Consider the following 22,756-nt stretch of genomic DNA (forward strand, 5'->3'; position numbering starts at 1 on the left):
TATTATAAGCCGAGAAGGAAGAGAGTCAAAATTAGACAGAACACACAGAACTATCTGCAAAATGTGAACATAACATACATTTATACATGTTTTTGAATGTATAATTCTGAGTTCATAAACTTTAGTTTGGAATTCATTCCACACAGCTGTATAAATAAGAAAGAAAAAAATGTAACCACTCTCATTTTCTACCTCTTTGAAAGGAATTCAGTAGTTTTAATTAAGTAGCAATTAATTAAATTTACTACTTCCTGCCTATCTGTGATGGATCATAATCTGCACTAAGGGCCTTAACCTTGCCAAACTTCACTTTCATTACACAGAAGCCCTTAAGAATTCAAGAAATTGTAAAGTAAAGGTTACTTAGTTGTGGGTTACCTCAGAACTGAAAAGCCTTAATTAAAGAAAGCTCTGTAAAACAAACAGCGTGTATCTATAATGCTTTTTAAAACCACCTTTTACTTACGTCAACAGGGACCAGAAGACTCTTGCCAAGATGTTGATTAAAAGAGAGGCACCAGGCTTCAGTGTAACCATTCATGTTAGGGACATACTTCTTTATTGTCTCATCATTCAGCCTCAGCCACACACCATCATCATTATGGATCTATAGAAAAAAGCAACAGAAACAAGCCAGGCCTTCCTGTAAGTCCTATGAGGCTAGCAAGGTCTGAAAGTCTGCAAAGCAGAAAAATGATGGTGCATGTGCAGATTAAGCATCTAGTTTTTGCAGAAAGTAAGTCTGAGAGACCCTCCAGGGAAAAAAAAAGCAGCAAAGAGTGCCAACACAATATGGTAATTCATGTGGCAAGACTGTAAAAACAATTTCACTTAGGAATAAAAACACAAGGAAACCACACTTTAAGATACATAAACAGTAAAATCAGATGTTTCCCAAAGGAATATGAGTCTTCCTTCCCTTATATTTATATTTTAAGAAACAGAAGTTACTTGGTTATATTACCAGAAAAATATACTGTCCAAAGTTAAAGCAGTAAGAAACACATTTCAAAACAAACAACATTTTAAAATGTCATGAAGAACTATACCCATTTTCAGTGAATACATGTACAGGTTCTGAATACTATGTCGAACATTGTTCTTTTCATGTTCAAAATATAATTTTAGTCATTTTTTAATGATAAAATAAATGAAATGTTTGAAACTCAATGAACACATTCTATAAAATAGTTTTAAAATATTTCCCAAACTGCTTAAAACATATTCTGACAAAAAACTCAGTAACCTTATTATTATGCAAACAATGCAAAAACTTTCTGTCCAAAATTTACTACCAAAAGCTCCTTTATCAATTACCTCATCAATAAAAGTGATAGTTCCATTGACTTTCACTATGCCTATCTGCTCACTCTGAAGGGAAGGGTGGCTACGGATGCGAAGCCCCGCACTGTCCTTGGCCACAAATTTTCGAACCTGAGAAAGGCAAAGATAAACAGTGAGGTAGGAAGAACATAGAATAGAGATCTTACAAGTAGCAAGAAGTAAAATTAAGCAGGTTTGAAAGTATCGTAATTCTTAATAAGGTTCCAGAATTATTTGTAGAGAGGCTCCCTCTGCAAATAACAGTATAACAACACTAACAACAGAACTTTTAAGCACTGAAATGTGTATTACTGAAAATAAAGCTTAGACAATTATATATATTTTAACTCATTTCTAAATACTGAAGATACGTGTTAAGAAGGATAAAAACCATTTCTTTCTGTTAGAAAAATAAATTCAATTACCAATATTTCATTTTTTTAACATGCAGTTTACCAAAATGCCTGTACTTACTCTTTAGATTTCAGAAATTAACTTTTCTTTTGACAGTAGAGGACATTTTCACCTTGCAAACTTTACACTTAATTTCAGTAGACTTTTGTTCATTGTAAATGTTCCACAGCAGGAAGAATACAATATGTACCAAATAAAGAAGTACACATGCTACAACTTAGAAATATTACCATGAACTACTCTCTAAATTTATTTAGGGATATTTAGAATTCAAGTCCTGAAATCAAGTAAAATGTTAGATGTTTACTGGCCATTTTGAAGCATCAGTGACAAACGTAAAAATTGAATGATTCCGGCTCTCAATTCATTCTGCCCTAACCTTATTAGGCTGAGGTTCAGACTTTGGTTTGACCAACTGAGTTCCTGGTGGTATCATCCCTTTTGGTGGGTCTTTTACTTTTACTTCCAGACCAGCATCTGTCAGAAAAATCAGAGAACTGTAACATTTGAGAAAAAAAGAGAAGGAAGATCCTTAAACCTAATCTTATAAACATCCACAGGCTATTTTTAAAAATTAACACAAATATCTGATTTCTGTCCTTTTAAGGTGATGGATATTTAATAGGCTAAACAAGAGAAATATTTTAAAAATGGCCCTGAGATTCTAAAGGAATGTCTCAGGATGTCAAGGAAAAGAAGGGGCTCCCTATCTTTAACTAGAACATATGAAATGATACAGAAAAAATGGAAAATAATAAAAAAAAGAACCCTTGAGAATTAAATCTTATCTGACAATATCCAATCAGAATACCACTCATCATCTCTACCAGTCCTCTCTATGACAATGTAGCATGGTTGTGAGAAGCTGAGGTTCTCATGTTAGACTGCTTTGGTTACTCCAATATCTCGCACTAACTGTTTGACTCTCTGTGCCTCAATTTCTTCATCTATAAAATGGGAAAAATAACAGTATCTAACTCACCGAGCTGTTGTAGGAAATAAATGACGTAAAATGTACAAGGGGCCAGGCGCAGTGGTTCACAATTGTAATCCCAGCACTTTGGGAGGCCGGGGCAGGCGGATCACCTGAGGTCGGGAGTTCAAGATCAGCCTGGCCACCATAGTGAAACCCCATCTCTACTAAAAATACAAAAATTAGCCGGGCCTGGTGGCGCGCACCTGTAATTCTAGGTACTCAGGAAGCTGAAGCATGAGAATTGCTTGAACCTGTGAGGTGGAGGTTGCAGTGGGCAGGGATCGCGCCACTGCATTCCAGCCTGTGCAACAGAGTGAGACTCTGTCTCAAAAAAAAAAAAAAAAAAGTATACATAGAGAAAATTTAGATATATATTAAATGCACAATAAATGCTAGCTATTATTATTATAACTATTCTAGTGAATTATTATCTCTGCTTGTCTATGGTCAAGCAAGGTCGCAGCCCATTGATGGCATCGGAGAAAACTTAGGAAGAAGAGCAGGGAAGTTGAGTATGGAAGAAAATGGATGATTCTAAGTAAGCAAGTATTTTTGTTCAGCTTCATTCCAAAAAACAAATATAAGTGGATTTTTCTTATCTAATTTGTATCAGTTTTCTTCATCCCCACTATTAGATAAGATGATGAAAAAAACTCTATCTACTGAAATTTTACCAGAATTTTTAGAGAAAAGAAAATTTTCACAATGTCATTCTTGGCTATTTCTACTTTCGAATTCCTACTGTAATTTGTATGTCTTGTGTGTCACTACTTATATTCTACTTCATAAGATTTTTGTTTGCGTGTTTTATTTTCACAATCCTCATTAAAGTGTTAACACTTGACAGGAATTGTCTTACCCAGGAAAATGTATGCTCAGAACCAAAAAACATTTGCTGAACTAAAGGCTTTATGAATATATTGAAATAAAGAAGAGTGCAGCAAAGGCTGCTGGTGAAGGTCTCTAGAATGGTACAGATGAACTGGATATATCTGAGTCTATATAGTTACATTAATGTATGAGAACATACAATTACATCAATGTAAAGTACCTCTTTACCTCCACTGCCAAAGCAAACTACTTAAAGCAGGGTTTCCCAAATATTTTGGTGAAATATTAATTGGTATTATTACTATCTCCACCCTGTTTCTCTCTTCTCCACTTGCAAGGGGTCCCACGATAAGGATTAAACATAGTCAGACAAGTTTCTTGATTTCAGAACTTCTCAGAATCCCTAATATGTTAATGTAGATTGTGTGAATGTCTCAAGTGAGACTACCATATACAAGTTGAGCATCTCTAATCTGAAAACCCCAAATCCAAAATGATCTAAAATCTAAAACCTTTGGGTGCTGACATGATGCTCAAAAAAAGTGCTCACTGGAGCATTCTGAATTTTGAAATTTTGAATTAGGGATGCTCAACTGGTAACTGTAATACAACTATTCCAAAATCAGAAAAAGTCCAAAATCTAGAATACTTCTGGTGCCAAGCATTTCAGATAAAAGATACTCATCCCAAACCAGGTTTTCGAAATTTATCTGATCACAGAAACCCCTTTCCTTGAGGAGCATCAGGAAAAATAATGTTACAAGAAATTCACACTGATAAGTACTAGAGTTTTCTCCTTGTTATCCTATTATACAGACAGTTTAAAAGTAAAGAAAAGATTAATGCCTAAAACAAAAGAAATATGTTTTTCAAAGTTAATGGTTGTGATGATTACTTCTAGGTGTCCACTTGACTGGATTAAAGAATACCTAGAAACCTGGTAAGGCATTACTTTTGCGTCTGTGAGGGTGTTTCCAGACAAGACTGGCGTGTGAGTGTGAGTGGAGTAGGTGGAGAAGATCTGCTTTCAATGTGGACAGGCGCTGTCCAATCAGCTGGGGACACAGAGCAAACAAAAACAGAGGAGAGGTGAATGTATTTCTATTTTTTGGAGCTTGGATAAACACTTCCTCTACTGTCCCTTGACATTTGAACTCCAGGGTCCCCAGCATTTAGACTCCAGGACTTATTATTAGTGGCCCTCCTGGATTCTCAGACCTTTGGCCTCAGACTGAGAGTTACATCATCTGCTTCCCTGGTTCTGAGGCTACCTGCATCTCAGGATCTCCAGCTTGCAGGTGTGGCCCATAATGGGACTTTTCAGACTCCATAATTGTGCGAGCCAATTTCCCTAATAAATCCTCTCATATATCTAATATAGACATGCATTGCTTAAGGATGGGGAAATGTTCTGAGAAATGAATCACCAGGCAATTTCATCATTGTGCAAACATCAGAGTGGACTTAAGCAAACCTAGATGGTACAGATTACCTGGGTTATATGGTACAGCCTATTGGTCTTAGGCTACAATCCTGTACAGCATGTTACCCTACTGAATACTGCAGGTAACTGTAACACAATGGTAAGGATTTGCATATCTAAACATATCTAAGCATAGAAAAGGTACAGGAAAATCTTATAGGACCACCATTATATACGCTGTTCGTCACTGACCAAAATGCTATGAGGTACATGACTGTATAGATATCCTATTGGTTCTGTCTCTCTGGAGAACCCAGATTAACACAATGATCGATTTAAAAATGCATTCATTCATCCATATTTGCTGTCATTATGTGCCAGGCACTGAGCTACACTGGAAGATCCAAACATGAATGCTTTCTGCTCACAGTCAGGAGAGGCACAGACACACCCACAGGGGAGAGACAGGGTAACAGCAGCGTGGAAGAGAGCACACCTGACTAGTAACATCAGGAAATGGAGGGAGAGAGTCATGAGGGCTACAGTGCCTGGGCGGACACCAGAAATTATTACAAAATGTTAATGCACTAATTAAATACTCATTATGAAAGAGAAAACAAGGCCTCAAATAAGTTATGAAACCTATCCATATGTCTAGTGCAAGTTAATGGGCAAAACTAGAAGATAAAAATAATTTTGACTCTAGTTATTTGAAGTAAGTAGTAGCTCATGGCTTTAAAGAAAATACCGATTTCAATGCCATCAATGGTAACATGAAGAGTGTAGAGTCCAATAGCCCCTGGAGTCCAATTTGCACAATAAGTCCCATCATTATTGACACGGATCAGCATATTCTCACTGGGTCTGAAAAGAAATAAGATGGATATTGGAAATTTTACTTTTGGTTAAGCAGTCAACATCATTACGATAGTTCAGCAAACATTTAATTTGTTTGCATACCTCCTGGCAATCCTACCACCCTGCCATAGTACGCTTGCCTACTCTCCAAAATGCTTGAATTTCACTTCTTTCTTACCTCAAACCTGCATCACCTCTCTTCCTAACTCTCAGGTGATCATGACCTCACCTCTTTCTTCTGTGAGACAATAAGCAATCAGATACAACCTCAAAGTTGCAATGTGATTAATAAACCTACTTTCCCCTGCCTTCTCTCATGGTAGAATGGAGGAAGTGTCCTGGATCTGATCCAAAGCTAGTCCCTCCCCTTGTGCTGTGAATCTTATTCCCTCAACATTTTTATGCTGCAATCACCTTGTTCTCTCTCATGCATCATCAATTACTCTCAATTTAGTGAATCATTTCGATTAGCACACAAACTTTAGAATCTTCACTAACACCTCCCTTTGGTATTACAACCCCCTCTAATAAGGTCTTACATCTCTTCTCCGATTTATATCAAACTCCATTCTCTCACTTCTACTTCCTTTCCACAATTTATCCTTATTAGGCTTTTGTTTCCAACATTTCCTTACAACTGCTGATGTCAAAGTCACCAATGACCACCACGTCCCCAAGTTCAATGGTCACTTCATCCTCAGCAATCTCTCAGTAGCATCTGATAGCTGACAACTCTTCCTATCTTGAAATACTTCCTTCTTTTTGCTTCTGTGACATTTTCCTGGCTTTTTTCTTATCTCACTGGCCATTCTTTGTCAGTGTTTTGTTGCTTTCCCTTTTCTGACTACCGTTTAATTTAAGGAATGCCCCAGGATTTGGGTCTGGGTCATCTTTTTTCTACCTATGCCATCTATCTAGGTGACAACCATTCCTCAGTTTTAAATGCCATCTCAATATAGATGATTCCCAAATTTATTTTCCCCATGAGTTTCAAACTGGTATTTCCAGCCTATACATAATTCTGCTATCTCAGATTCACTTCAGAGATTTTTCTAAATTCTATGGAGGTGATCTCTCCAAAGTATAATGCATCTAATTATTTTTTCCAAGTTTCTATTTTAAGTAGTACTGTTCCTAACAAATAAAATATTAACTCAAAAAAAGTCCTTAAATCTGAAGTTAACAGAATTACTTACGGGCTGAAAAATTAAGACAGTACAATCAAATACAAGTATACCACATGCTGAAATCTCTCCACAATTCATTGGAAGGAGAAAAGGAACAATTTTTAAATAGCAAACAAACAAAAAACAAACTAATCAACCCTAAACAAGTCAATTTAAACATTTTTACATACTAGATATCTACTTTACATACCTATTTTCACTAGTAGGTAGTATTATGTAATATATTGGCAGTATTACAGTTGAATGTAAACACATTCTTTCTGCAAATCTATACATTATTATATGACATCTCTATCGGCAACCTAGAAAAATGCTATAAAGTATTTATTTATAGAAAATAAAGTTGAAATGCAGGATGATTTTAGTTGCAAGCAGCTGACAACACATGTTTTGGTTATACTTTGAGAAAACGATCCTTACCTCTTAGGAGTTGGTGATGCAAAACGTAGTTCTTCAAATGAATAATTTTCATAAACCTTTAAGAAAGAGACCAGTCTGAACAATCGTAAAATCATTTAAAAACATTCTCAATTAACAGAGTAATATATTATTCAATAAATGGTTGTGAGACAACTGGTTATACATATAGGAGAAAAAGAAAAAAAATTACCTACTTTAGACCATTTATTAAAGATAAATTCTACAAGGTTTGAAGATCCAAAAGTAAACACCAAAACTTAAAAAAAAAAAGCAAAAGAAAAAAACAGATAACATCTTTTGAGTACATTAAAATTTTAAAGTTTTCCAAAACAAATACTATACAGAAAGGAAAAGCTTCCACCTTGGAGAAGGAGATTTGTAACTCGTATAACCCAAAGGTGATATGCATCCATAACATATAGAGAATAAATCCATACAAAAGAGATAAACAACAACAAAAAAAGACAGTCAAGACAATTCTCTGAAGAAGAAATCTGAAAGGTCAATAAAGACTAGAAAAGTTATTTAACTAAACTTGGAGGAAAATACGAATTAAAACAAAACTAAAATAAATCACATCATGGTCATCAAATTGTGTTGGTAAGAACCAAGCGCAGAGGAGAACATGCAGCACCTGCTACTTTCATACATTGCTCGTGGGAGTGTGAGTTTTGGCAATACTTAATGTAGTTGTAGTTGTGCATGCCCTACAACTTAACAATTCCACTTCTAAGTATGTATCTTACAGAAACTCTTGCTCATGTACAAAAGGAGACAAATACAGAATGTTTATTTCAGTACAGTTTATAATAAGCGTCCATCAATGGGAGAATGGACAGATTATGGAATAGATCCCCAATGGAATGCTTTAAAGCAGTTAAAATGAATGACCTATAGCTACACGGCTGAACCTCAAAAACAACATTAAGCAAAAATCTGGCAAAATGATACATACAATACGATATTATTTTATAAACTTCTGGAAAACGTATTGAACAACCCAAAATATACTGCTTATGAATAAATTTGTATTCAGTAAGAGCCTAAAAATATATACAGGAATGAGAATCACTACACTCAGGGCAGTGGTTACCTCTAAGGAAGGGGTGGTAATGGGTCTGAGGAAGGGTTTAGGCAGGCTTCAATTGTACCTGTAGCAATCTGTTTCTTAATAAAAAAATAACAAAATGACCTGAAACAATTATGGTAAAATGTAAAGACAAAAATGGGCTGTAGGTACATGAAACTTGGCACATTATTCTGAATACTTCTGTATGCCTGCAACATTAGCAAAGAAATCATTATCTTTCAAGGTTCAGGTCAAGATGTCCAACTGCTCATCTACTTCTAACTCCTCCTGTACTTACAGTAAAAGGAAGCAAACTCAAAGCCCCCTTCCTTCTCTCTACCCTTTTTGTTTTCATAAAAATGAATTAGAAATGATCTAGCTGACTTTACCTACTCAAAAGTTACACATGAGAAAAACGCAAGTTAAGGCTGAGTCTTTAGCCATACAAAGGTGAGAAAAGGAAATCCATGTTTCTAGACTTTCAGTACAATGTATTTTCTATTTCATCACTCTCCCTCAAATTCATATTATTAACACACTTAGTAATGAAAGAAGAGACCATATTTCATCTTTCCATCCTCTACAATACTTGGCTCACTACTGAGTGAATACATAGTATCTGTGAATGGTTGATAAGGAAAATTTCCTTTCCTGGGACCTGAATTAACATTTCACAGATACTGTTTGGGAATGGTATTCCATACCTGCTCTAAACCTAGGCTACTCAGAACATGTTTGAAATATTGCATTCCGTTGTGGTAACAAAATTTGCAAAAGAAATTATACAAACTGAAGCATGTTCATAGGAAACTAAAAGATTAGGGAGGTAAGGAGACTAGAAACTAAATTCCTTAAGCAAGTGTTGGAATAGAGAAGAATTTTTAGCCTTGCTTTTTTTTTTAATAGTAGAAATAATTTTAAAATTTGATACTAAAATAGCCAAATGTGTAAGATGGATTTTTTAAAAAATGAGACAAATATTTATTTCGGATATAGAATTCATAATGAGATTATTAATTTGGTGAGTAAAAAGTGAGAGAAGAGAATTCTTTAACAGCCAGTGGACAATTCACCTAGAACTCTAGTTTCTCATTCCCTGATTTCTTTAACCTCAATAACTTCAACTTTTTTTCCAGCCACTCACACCAAAAGTCACAGACCTGTGACATTACTCAGAATTGTTCTGTCTCTGAAATCAAAATAAAATGGCCTGTTCAGTTTTTTACCTCAATAACTATTCTTATATCTACTTTGACGTCTAGTCCCTCTTACTTCCTTGACTCTGAAATTTCTTCCCTTCCAAACTAAATTAGGTTCCACTGTCCTCTCTTTAGCTACCATATACTTAACTTCCTTGTTCCACTGTTCTTTTGCTGGTCTAGCAAAATTTTAATGCTAGATCCATCCAAATGATTGTTTTATCCATGCTCATATGACTCACACTGTTATTCACAAATAATCTTCAATTTCAACTGATTATTCAAAGGCATCTAATAAATCTTTTCTGATCGGTGCTTTCTTTTAATCTCTAGAATAACAATTTCATTTTATCCGCTTTGTTTCAAAACCTTGACCCTAAGATTCATCACTTCCATTTCCATCCCAAAACACATAATTACTGTTTTAAATAATTCCTTTGGCTGCAAAACCTACAAATTTACTAGCATCTGTATTAAGCTTTCTTTTCCTTCTTCTGGTAGAATGAAACAAGCACTACTCCTCCTCCTATTTAAGGCCAATGCTACCACTTGAGCTCTAGATTCTATTTTTATATTCGGAGTATCTTTATTGTTTTTTCTCTCAATTACCTCCTAATCAGCACTCAAATATGTAACTCTATCTCTATTAATAAGACCCCATACTCCAAAGCCTTCACTCAATTCCATTTCCTCTGGTTCTTTCTATAGTCAAACATCTTGAAAGGCTTATCTACACTCACTTCAGCCATTCCCTTAATTATGTGTTGCTTCTTTGGCTAGTATTCTTACCAATGTGAATCGTTTTTCCTTTTCCTTTCTTTTTCTCTTATCTACCTTGTAAATCAGTATTTCTCAAAGTTTAGGTTTTGAATTTGAATCACTGCATATTTGTTTCAGGTAAATTCCTGAACCTCTCTCCAAACCCACTGAATCTAAATCTCTGGGTGCTTGGAAATCTTTTTTTTTTTTTAAGTAAGTGCTCCAGATGCTTCTGATGTAGAGAAGAGTCTGAGACTCAGTGATATTGGTGTTTCTTAGGATCCTATCCTGGAACTTCTGTCTTCATTCACCATAGAAGGTATCATCTATTCCCATGACTTCATAAGTAATGTAAGTGCTAATGATTCCTGAATCCTTTTCTTGAGGTCAGACTGTGATCACTCAGGTCTGTACATCTAACTTTGTTTTATACATCTTCACGTAGGTATTTCAGAAGTATCTAAAACTCACCTCATCCAAAACTGAATCTGCTATCTTTCTCAACCAAAACCTGCCCCTCTTCCATTATCAATTGGACACAAGCTCAATATGTGAATTTCATCTTTTATTTCCTACCTTTCTTCTTTACTCCACCTCCACTAGCTACCAGGTTCTACTGATTCTATTGAATCTATCCTCATTGACAACTCACTAGTCCAACTGATCAGCATATCTCACCAAATTAAGTCAATAGTCCCCTAAAGAGACTAAAACCAAGTCATGTTTCTTGATCATCTGCCCAATTACACTGTCCATATTCCACCACAATCGTTACAAAACACAAATCTAATCAAGCCATTCCTCTACCCAAAAGCCTTCAATGGCTCACCACTGCTCTCTGAAAATGCCAAAATTACAAACTTCAGCTTCAAATAATGACTACCTTGATAATTCGGATTAACATTGCCTCTGAAGATAACTAAAACATCCAAAATATATATTTTTTAAATGTCTAAAGGTATTAGAGAGCTAAAAATCCCAAAGAGTTCTAGGAGATACATCTGGCATTTGAGAGAACCCAAAATTGAAGGGGGCATAGGTAAACCCCAAAACCCTGAAGAGATACATTCTAGCAAGAATAGTAAACTGCAAATAGACAAGTACTTAGAAATTTTATTTTATTTTTATTTTTTTGTAGAGATGGGGTCTCACTACATTACTGAGGCTGGTCTCGAACTCTTGGCCTCAAGTGATGTTCCCTCCTTGGCCTCCCAAAGCCCTGGGATTATAGGTGTGGGCCACTGTTCCTGGTCAGAAGTAGACAAGTACTTTCACAGGAACTGAAACTCAGCCTAATCCATCTGTATCTCTGATTCGATTAACTTGATCTGTAATTGGTGATCCCCTCTGGACATCTGCCAAAAACCAATGAAAATCCTCTCTGAAGACAGGATAACATCATCTTAATAAGTGTTGCTGCAAATTTAATATCCATCAAATGCTCTTTGGACTTACAATTTCATGTCTGCATCTGAATCACTGAAATGTTGGTTAAATAAACAAATGCTGAAAACTAAAATTTTTCTGATAAGTAAAATAAATTACCTTCATCATTGTTATGGCAATATATCGAGCTTCCTTCACTATCATTGGTTCATATGAAACATCTAGCTTTGGTGATGCCAGCCCTCCATAAGTCATGTCAGTATTAGAAGATGCAGCTGTTACTGCAGGACTGCCAGGAATCCTTTGAGGTTTCTTTGCTTGATCTTGTTGTAAAGACATTTTTTTCTGAGAAACAGGGACAGCTTTCACTTCCACCTAAACATGGTATTATAGAAACCAAATACCATTATTATTTAATTGTCACTGACATCAAAATAAGCAACTTACTATTATAAACTCATAATTATGTATACTTTATGTTAGCATTGGTCTGTCTCTGGCATTCCCTTCAAAGGCTTATTGAAAAGAGTTCAAATGACCTCAAGATGGGTTGACAATATGAACCATGAACACGGTGTAAAAACAAGGCCTCATAGTTTTGGAATACATAATCAGAGATATCAAAACATAAAAACAAATGCACCACTAATAAAGTACAGGAAAAGATAGTGGAATGAATCTACATTAAGTTATTGCAGGGACTAACAAATTATTTTATCAGGTAATGCAAGTGTAAATGCTTTCCCACAATCTCAGCACATTTTAAAGCACTAATGTCAGTTTGAGCTGCACTGTTCTACAGAAGAAAATGTACTCTATTTATAGAAGTTTCAAAAATTAACACTTAATAAAACAAATCTTATACCTAAAGCCCAAATATGTTTCTTTACTCGGGTGAAGAAAGAATATTATTAGACAGCCCTATCACCAACATCAACATTTGATTTAAGCAATCTATTAAATAATTAAACTTTGCAACTCACTTTCTTTAAGAATAAAATGGGACTATCTTTCGTCCACTAACTCTACAGTATAGATGCAAAAAACAGATTCGTTAATGGATGTTAATATACTGAAAATACAAATTGTCTTATAAAAATACCTTTTAGATATATTTTCCAGGAATTATAACTTTGCAACTCAATTTCTTCAACAAAACGGGACTATCTTTGATCTACTAACTCTACTATTTCATCTACTAACTACTATTTCTGAAAAATACTTTTTAGAAATATTTCCCAGAAATTATAAGAAAACATTGTTTTTATTTGTTTATGCATTGGCAGAAAAACACTTGACCCCTAGGCAACCACAAATGTACACACAATTTGAATACCACTTTAGTTCTTCAGCAGGTATCACCATTCTGAGCTTTACTCAAAGTTTCTGCTGCTCCCTACAGACAATAGTTTTGTGGTTGGCAAGAACAGGTAATTCAACAGAATTGTCACAGAAATAGAAAAAGTGCAGAGATAAAAGTGATAGTATTTTTAAGTAATTGAGAGCTACCTCAGAACTACAGACTGTCTTTATGTTTATTGTTCTTAACAACGCGATTCTATGGAATCAGTAGTTTGAGACTTTCGCTATTTATATAATGTTAGGCACAGGTGACAAATATGTTCCATTAAGTGACCACTATCTTCAGGTGAGGTTACAAGAGATCAGTATTTGGACTGACACAAACCCCTGGAAATATTAAAAACCCATTCTTATATTTAAAAAATGGCAGTTTACAGGTATATGGTTAAAATTTCAACTCAAACACATGTGCCAGCATAAAAAGCTTTAAACTTTAAACAATTAAAAAATCTGAAGATGATACAGACAGGAGTCAGGGATATACTGGATAGGAGAAGGTGGTTCCCTGGCAAAGGCCCCACTCTCAAGCCTGGAAACCATGACCCTAAATGAGAACAGTTTATCCTTGTATTCCGCCTAAATGTTGCCTTTTTGGCCAGCCCTGCCCCCCTACCCTATGCCCCTATAAATCCCAGACTTCAGCTAGCAAAGAGACAAGTGGCGAATACCAAGAGGAGAAGCAGCAACTGATGAGACGCGCGGCTTAACCTCAGATGGCACCACTTAGGAGAGGAGCATGGCTGGAGACGGCTGGGCTTCAGGGAAATATCACCTTCTTCTCACACCATGCCCTTTCTAGCTCCCCTTCTGCTGAGAGCCACTTCCACCGTTTGATAAAATCCGCCGTGGCTGGGCGCGGTGGCTCACGCCTGTAATCCCAGCACTTTTGGAGTCTGAGGCGGGCGAATCACAAGGTCAGGAGATCGAGACCATCCTGGCTAACACGGTGAAACCCCGTCTCTACTAAAAATACAAAAAATTAGCCAGGCGTGGTGGCGGGTGCCTGTAGTCTCAGCTACTCGGGAGGCTGAGGCAGGAGAATGGAGTGAACCCAGGAAGCGGAGCTTGCAGTGAGCTGAAATCGTGCCACTGTACTCCAGCCTGGGCGACAGAGCGAGACTCTGTCTCAAAAAAAAAAAAAAAAAAAAAAAATCTGCTGTATTCACGCATTCATCGCGTTTCAAACCATTCATATGACCTGATTCTTCCTGAATGCCAGACAAGAATTCAGGACACACTGGGTGCAGGAACCCAAAAAGGCTGTCATGCTGATTCTTCACTGAGCTGTTTAACACTTAGCCATCCACAGACAACAAAGCTAAAAAAGCATTAATTGTGACACACTCCTAGATGCTGCTGTGGGGCTGGAGCCCAGAGGTGCTTGCCTGGGCCCTGGCACCTGCTTGCCTCAGTGCTCGCCATCCTGCAAGGGGTTTGAGTGCAGCAGTCAAGTAAATGAGCCACACGACACCCACGTCCCAAGTCCCACAAAGGGGTCAAGGGAACTCTCCTGTCTCAAACATATTTGATATTAAATTACAGACACTATTTTTATACATACTATTTCAATTTAACCTTTCTGTAAGCAACTATATTTACCCTAAGTATTTAATAAATTATCATTAGAGTCTATGTGTGTATGCACCATGAACCTTGAAGTAAATCACTGAATAATTTTATACTTTAAGAAAACTGAGACATTATAGAATAACCATTCTGCTTTCTTTTACAAACTGTGTTACTTAAAAAAAAAGTTATTCTTGTATTTCCTATGTGACTTTCTCTTGTCAATAAATAAGATTTCCTTAAAATAAACTTTTTTTTTTAATTCACAGGAAGTTTCAAAAATAGATGAAATGTCCTATGTACCCTTCACTCAGGTTCCCCCAATGGCTACATTTTATCCAACACTGTCAGACACTGATGGTACTGAACCAAAACCAGGAAATTGACATTGGTACAATATGTGTGTTTAGTTCTAACTCATTTTATCACAGGTAGGGAACAGTCATTTTATAAGTAAAAAATTATAACAATAACACTTGTTGCTTTTGAAAGCATTTTGGAACTCATTGAAATATTAGCTGCAAATCAACTTTTATGCTTCAAATAATTAGCTATTACTGCATAAAGATTTTAACAATTTATGAACAGTCTAAAGTGCTCCTAAGACTTCATATACTAATAGGCTGAAAGTAAAATAGGTTAAATTAATTTTGTTTCCAGCTAATATAATATGATATTAATACATTAAACATCAGTAGGAGCACAAATCACTTCTTCTAGATAGTATTTAGAGTGGTTTTCTAGAAAGTTTCTAAATTGGATAAATCTGACATGAATTTAGAGCACACTGAGTAAGAGGTTTAAGTCAAGGAAAGATAGTAGGAGAAGCAAATATATGGAGGAGAAAGAAGAGGAAGAAAAGAAGGAAAAAGGAGAAGGAGGTGAAAGGGAAAGAGGAGAGGGAAGAAGAGAGGAAAAAAAAAAGCAGATCCATCATATGGTTAAAAAAAGAACTCTAAGATGAAAAGAAAAAAAGATGAAGTCTGACTTTCAAATGCAAGATATAAACATACCAGATATCAAAAGAGATAATAAAAGGTGCAAAGGAGAAAACACAAGAAAGAAAATACAACTAAAGAAATATCAGAAGCGTAACAGTATGAACATGGTATTAGAATGTTGTCACATGAATAAAAAACTTAATCTTGAGGGTTCAAAGATTGGATTTAACAACTCACTACATTGAGAAATTCATCAGTGAATACACAATATACAAGCCCTTCAACATCTTAACGTGTATTGTACTGTGATCAAAAATCTGTCCTTGAGTAGTAATTTTTTTCATATCACTATCAGGATAACTTTATTTTTAAATCTTTTTTTCTTATAATTTGTGATGCTTTTTGCATTGTATAGAATAATTCCAAGTAGGCATGAACTCAGTTTGTGAAGGGTATGACTTGCCTTAAAAAATAAGATAGAGAAAGCATCAGAGTATAGCATATTATGTATGTATGTGTGTATGTATATATAAAGTATATTATATGTACTTAACATATGCTATTACATAGACACTATTCCATCATATATTATATTTATATCTTTGGGTTATAATAAAAATTCTGACTATGGATCATGGCCAAATATTTGAAAGATACTGCTAAAAGACTGATTTTGATTTAGTATCAGGGTTGAAACCTTTTCCATACAGTTTTATTTACTGGTCTTAAGTCATGTAAGCAATGTGTTCTTATTTTTTACTTAGGTAAGATGCTACATTGGCATTGTACTTCTTCACGCTATAAATGAAAGAATGCATGAAGTAGTTGAAATAGTTCTACTGAAAATAATATTGAGGCAAAATTAGCTACCCAATGAGCAAAAAGGATTTTGTGGCTTAATCAGCTCTAAGCTTCAAACAACCAATCACTCTATAAGACAACTTTGAAGGAGGAAAGGGCTGGGGACTGCCTATATAAAATTTTATTCAATATAATTTTTTCAGAAATAAAAGTTTTAAATGAGATATTCATATTAACAGATTAAATCACAAATAATTATGTATAATATGCTCTGAAACATTATTATTAATATTTCAGGTAAGAGGTATCCTAAAAACTCTATATTCATCAATATGGTATACAACTATTTCAATTCCTCATTCTTTTACAATCTAAACTCATATATTTCTAACTTAATGAGTGTTATTTTTAAAATGTGGTTTCAGTAATACCAAACACAGAACGTACTTGAGTCTTTCAAAACTATACACAAAATTTAAAAATGTATTCTTTCATGCATTTATTCAATCAATACATATTGAGGGGCTTCACTGTATGTGTCTAGCACTCTTTAGATGGATACTTTCTTATCCCTCCTTTGAGTCCCCGTAACAGGTAGCAAAATGTAAAGAACAAACTCACAAAAAAAACAGGTGTAACTTGGACACTTGGGGACTAATTAATATAAACAAGTCATTTAAACAAACTTTCAGCATCACCCTTTATATAAAGAGGGTAGAACAAATGGACTCTCAGCACTTGGCATTTCTAAAATTTTATCAGTCATTGCAGCCAGTATATAGATGTCTGCTAATTTAATCCAGTTATAATTACCTTCATATTGGGAACATGTACCACATCCCCATACTGGTCTTTTGTTTGAACAGTTATGGTGGTAGGCCAACCACAACGAATATCATCCTTATTCAGGATCAAAGATGTTTTCTGAGGATCCGCATATGAATCTGGCTGAAGCCACCTAACAGTAATGAAAAACAAATAAACAAAACCCCAAACACTGATCAGCATCTTCAACAATTAATATAAAATTAAGCCAAATGAACAAAACTTGTATCAAACAAAATGCTAAAACATTATCTTCATTTCCAACTCAGTGATAATCATGAGTGTCTCCCTCAGAAACTGTTAAGGACAAATTCATTTAAAAAACATGCCTAAGCACAGGAGATTTCTGATATTTAAATACAGTATAAAAATACTTTTTAAAACCAGGAAACTTGAAATTTTAACTATGGCTAATTTAAAATCACCAAGAACACGAATGTAGGTTGTGCATAATTTGAAGTCCTGAGCAGGCTCATTCTCTCTGAAGGAGCTCCACCTTACTCTGCCATCCTGCAAGCCTGGAAAAAGCAGTGTCTCTGTAAAAGCAGGGGTAGAAATGGCCCTCTACTTGCCTGACAGCAGCCAGGTTCAAGGTGTACTGCCCATCTTTTTTTCACAGTTTCTCAACTATCTTCCTCATTACCTTGCTTTCCACCTAAAATGCATCAATGTTGTGTAATTTGTGATGTTCATTCCTGAATTCATTCTGTGATCTACACATTCAAGTTGTCCTGTGAGCTGAGTAATAAGTAATTCTACCATGCATTACATAAAAACGTCTGCATAGTATAGTAGTGAGGCTGACTTAAGTGATTTGACATTCCTCTCCAATCACTATTTTGTGATTTTTAAAAACTAAAGAGTAATCTCTGCAATTTTAAAATTAAAACCAGAAAAAAGTTGGGATTTTTTTTTTACTAGTAAAATCATGCAGGCCAGCATATTTTTTTCCCTTTTCATCCTAAAAACAAAAAGCAACAAAAATAATCAATTAACAACTATAATAAATTTAATTTAATTAGTTAATTTTTTTTTGAGATAGGGTCTTGCTCTGTTGCCCAAGCTGGTTGCAGTGGCACAATCACAGCAACCTCCGCCTCTAGGGTTTGAGCAATCCTCCCACCTCAGCCTCCAAGAAGCTGGGACTACAGGTGTGTGCCACCATGCTTGGCTAATTTTTGTATTTTTTGCAGAGACAGGGTTTCACCATGGATTGCACTGGCACAATCAAAGCAACCTCTGCCTCCAGGGTTTGAGCAATCCTTCCACCTCAGCCTCCAAGTAGCTGGGACTACAGGAGTGTGCCACCATGCCTGGCTAATTTTTGTATTTTTTGTAGACACAGGATTTCACCATGTTGGCCAGACTTGTCTTCAACTCCTATGCTCTAGCAATCCACTTACCTCAGCCTCCTAAAGTGCTGGGATTACAGGCATGAGCCATTGCACCTGGTCTTATCATATACTATCATAACTATTCCAGCCTGGGCAACATGGGGAAACTCTGTTTCTACAAAAAATACAAAAAAGAAAAATAGCCGGGTGTGGTGGCATATCTGTAATCCCAGCTACCTGGGAGGCTGAGGCACAAGAATCGCTTGAGTCCAGGAAGTGGAGGTTGCAGTGAGCTGAGATCATGCCACTGCACTCCAGCCTGGGCAACACAGTGAGACCCTCTCTCTCAAAAACAAACAAACAAACAACCGCCAAACAAAAATATTAACTATCATTTTATATTTCAGCAAGTTAAACATACATAAACCAGACTTTTTTAAAGTAGTATTTTAATATTCTAATGACTCCCCTCTTTCAGAAATGAAGAAAGATGAAAGCCCTAAAATAAAGTAAGTAACTTAAAGTACATTTACCTTGCAAGCCTTCCACCACTTGATCCTGGGACACAGGCAATAAAATCATCCAGAAAAGACTGTTCATTGCTTTGGATTTGGAGTGGTAAATTTCCCTCAAGTGCTTCTAATATAGTTGGTGAATGAGAAAGAGCTAGACCCTTTCCAAGAATTCCAGAATGGGTTTTGCACACCTGTTAAGTAAAAAAGAATATTTATATATTCTTAAAAATAAAACTTTAATTACATAAAATTTTTCAACATGCAGATACTTTCAGATAGGCCTTTACGGAGAAATCATTTTCTCCACGTACCCCACTGTTCCTTCTTTTAACCCACAGAATAGGAAATTCCTAGGAGAGAAAAATATGAGACAATATTTCCAGTCTCTTTCCTCCCTCAAAAATAAATGCCTTGTCAGAGATCTGCATGCTGGATAAAATGGTGTATCTCCTTCCATGCCAGTCCTCTATATGTTATGTCCTCATTTTTCAGGGCCAGAGCTCCCTTCTGTCAGCAACTGTGGATGTCTCCCCCTTTTTTCTTTTTGAGACAGGGCCTTACTCTGCCACCCAGGAGTACAGTGGTGCCATCATAGCTCATTGTAGCCTCAACCTCCTGGGCTCAAGCGATCCTTCTGCCTCAGCCTCCCAAGTAGCTGGGACTTACAGGCGTATGCCACCATGGCTGGCTAATTTTTTTTAAAACTTTTTGTAGAGATGGGGTCTTGCTATGTTGCCCAGGCTGGTCTTGAACTCCTGGCCTCAAGTAATCCTCCCACCTTGCCCTATCAAAATGCTGGGATTATAAGCCTGAGCCACTGCATCCGGCTTCCCTCTTTTTCAGTCCCCCTTACAGGCAGCTATCATGAGTAAGGTGTGTCTGTTCTCTTGGGTGGGTGGGCACCAAGGTCTTGACTTGGGTAAAAAGTGGGTGGAAGCCTGATTGTGGCAGCACACACATCTCATTAGCCTGCCTAAGCCTTACTAAAGTTAAGAAGAAGAGGCAGATAAAACAAATTTTAGGTTTCACCTATCTGACAAGCAAGTCTTATGTTTTTGGAGAGACTTGTTTTAAATGCTGGAACTCTGAAAACTTTTTACTGACTATAAAATAAATTCCAGTAAGATTTTTTCATAGAAAATAATTACATTTCTAGTACTATCAAATTTGAAATTATACAGTTTCAAAAATAATCATCTTTGGAATCAAATAGACTTAAATTCAAATCCTGGCTTTGGACAAATTATTTGCTGTGTGCTCTTAAGCTAAAAAGTTACCATCCCTGAATCTGTAAAATGTATAAACTGGTCATCAAATAATCTCTCTTACACAGTTAAAAAATTCAAACTAAATAATGCATATAAAGTATATAATACATTGCCTAACAAATAGTAAGTGTTTAATACATGTTAGATTATCAGAATAACTACCTTACATGCCAAAAAGAGGCAATTTGGGACACCATTTTTTTTTTTCTTGAACAATAACATAATAAAGATCTCTCCATATCTGGTCTAGATGACACCTTATATACCATAATAATCCCTGAAATTATAAACCATATATGAACTCTGATATGGTTTGGCTCTGTGTCCCCACCCAAATCTCAACTCGAATTATAAATCTCCACATGTTGGGGGAGTGACCTGGCGGGAGGTGACTGAATCATGGGGGCAGACTTCCCCCTTGCTGTTTTCCTTACAATATCTGGTTGTTTGATAAGTGTGTAGGCCTTTCCCCTTCTCTCTCTCCTGCTGCCATGTAAGACTTGCCTTGCTTCCCTTTTGCCTTCTGCCATGATTGTAAGTTTCCTGAGGCCTCCTCAGCCATGTAGGGAACTGTGAGTCAATTAAACCTCTTTTCTTTATAAATTACCCAGCCTCAGGTAGTTCTTTATAGCAGTGTGAAAATGGACTAATAGAAACTCTTTGATAGTTCTCCTTCACCTAGAATGTTGCCTGACACATATTGTTTATTATATATCTGTTGAATTTATTTTTATTTTGAATCTTAAGGTACAAAGATTTAACTTTAAAAAAGGAATACACATAAGATGCCAATGGCTTTTTAAAACTCAGACGTTTCTTAACATTATTGACAACACTACAGCTCCCTATGATCAGAAGACAGTGTTCAAAATCACAAACTTTTTTTTTTTTTTTTTTGAGACGGCGTTTCACTCTTGTTGCCTGGGCTGGAGTACAATGGCATGATCTTGGCTCACCTCAACCTCCGACTCCCGGGTTCAAGCGATTCTCCTGCCTCAGCCTCCTGAGTAGCTGGGATTACAGGCATGCGCCACCACGCCCAGCTAATGAGACGGGGTTTCTTTTGTCACCAAACTGCCAGCGAACAAATCCCAGTGCAGTTGCTCACTAGCTGTATGATCGTGGGCGAACTGCCTAAATGCTCTATGCCTCATTTGTAAATGGAGATAAAACTTTTTAATTCATTGGGTTGCTGTGGGGAGTTAAAAATGCACAAAATGTTTAAAATAGTGCTTGACAAAGATGAAATAAATGTTTTCATTATTACCGCTTTGATTAATTCACCTCAGGAAATAAGTAAAATGTAAAGCACTAGCCTTCACAATTACAAGGTCTGGGTACCAGCCTTTGTTTCCCTTCTGAGTCTTCAAGAAGTCACAAAACTTCTTTGAACTTCAGTTATTATAATTGTAAGATGCAAGACCTAATACTGATTTCGAAGTGTAATTATAAAAACAGAGAGATAATATTAAAGATGCTGAAACCTATGAAGTGCTCTACAGATATTATTTAAATCACTATTACTAACTACATATACCTAGTATAGAAAATAAGTATGATCTAAATTGGTGTTTTCCAAATGTGGGCCCAAAGTTCTCTGATCCATGGCAGAATTAGAAAAACTAAGGCTATAACAGAGTCTTCCATTCTAAGACCTTTCCATCTGGGGCTATTAAAATGTCTTTTATTTTATAAGACATTGCTGATAAAAAGTAGTACATTTTTAAAGAGTGTTTTTACTTAATAAGTTCTCAGGAAAAATATTTTTGGAAAATTTTACAAATCTATCACATCCTAGGGTCTGAGTAACACTGATCCAGTTGAGAGACTCTCAACTTTTCTTCTATCTTCACACCATTGCTAGATGCAAAATTTTCCCCATCACTGATGTTCTCAGTGTGTGGTATCCAATGGGGCTCACTTAGCAGTACATCAGAAACTCTGGTTTGGCCTAAGTAGGTATTACAATTTGACAAATGCTGTCTACAGATTCTGATATTTCCATCCTATTACAGATTACTAGCTAGCTGAAGTCAGACTAATGAAGTAAGAAAACAATGTAGTCATCTCTAGGCAATTTTGAGAAATATTAGGTTGACGTAACAGATCCAAAGGGGGTATTGCACTGAAATATAGTACTCATGTATTTCCATTCAGTGCCAAATGTGCTAGTTAATGCCTAAACGAGCAAAAAAGGTAAAGCAAACAATAATAAAAACAACAAATGATGGCTCCCAATTGTCTACAGGCAACTAGCCCTAACCACTTAATATGACATACTGGTTTGTCACAGACTGAG

General features: G+C 36.0%; 1 protein-coding gene across 1 annotated transcript in view; it reads right to left on the reverse strand.

Moving 5' to 3' along the window:
- MYCBP2 (MYC binding protein 2) overlaps positions 1-22,756 on the reverse strand; it is a 282,438-nt gene that overhangs the window by 94,073 nt on the left and 165,609 nt on the right. The window contains exons 45-52 of the mRNA NM_015057.5: positions 19,208-19,380; positions 17,329-17,473; positions 12,005-12,220; positions 7,433-7,488; positions 5,716-5,831; positions 2,117-2,214; positions 1,318-1,434; positions 467-607 (exon numbers count right to left, since the gene is read on the reverse strand). Coding sequence (NP_055872.4) covers positions 467-607; positions 1,318-1,434; positions 2,117-2,214; positions 5,716-5,831; positions 7,433-7,488; positions 12,005-12,220; positions 17,329-17,473; positions 19,208-19,380 — 1,062 coding nt within the window. The remainder of the gene's footprint in view (positions 1-466; positions 608-1,317; positions 1,435-2,116; positions 2,215-5,715; positions 5,832-7,432; positions 7,489-12,004; positions 12,221-17,328; positions 17,474-19,207; positions 19,381-22,756) is intronic.

This window comes from Homo sapiens, chromosome 13 (assembly GCF_000001405.40).
Source record: "Homo sapiens chromosome 13, GRCh38.p14 Primary Assembly".
NCBI lineage: Eukaryota > Metazoa > Chordata > Mammalia > Primates > Hominidae > Homo > Homo sapiens.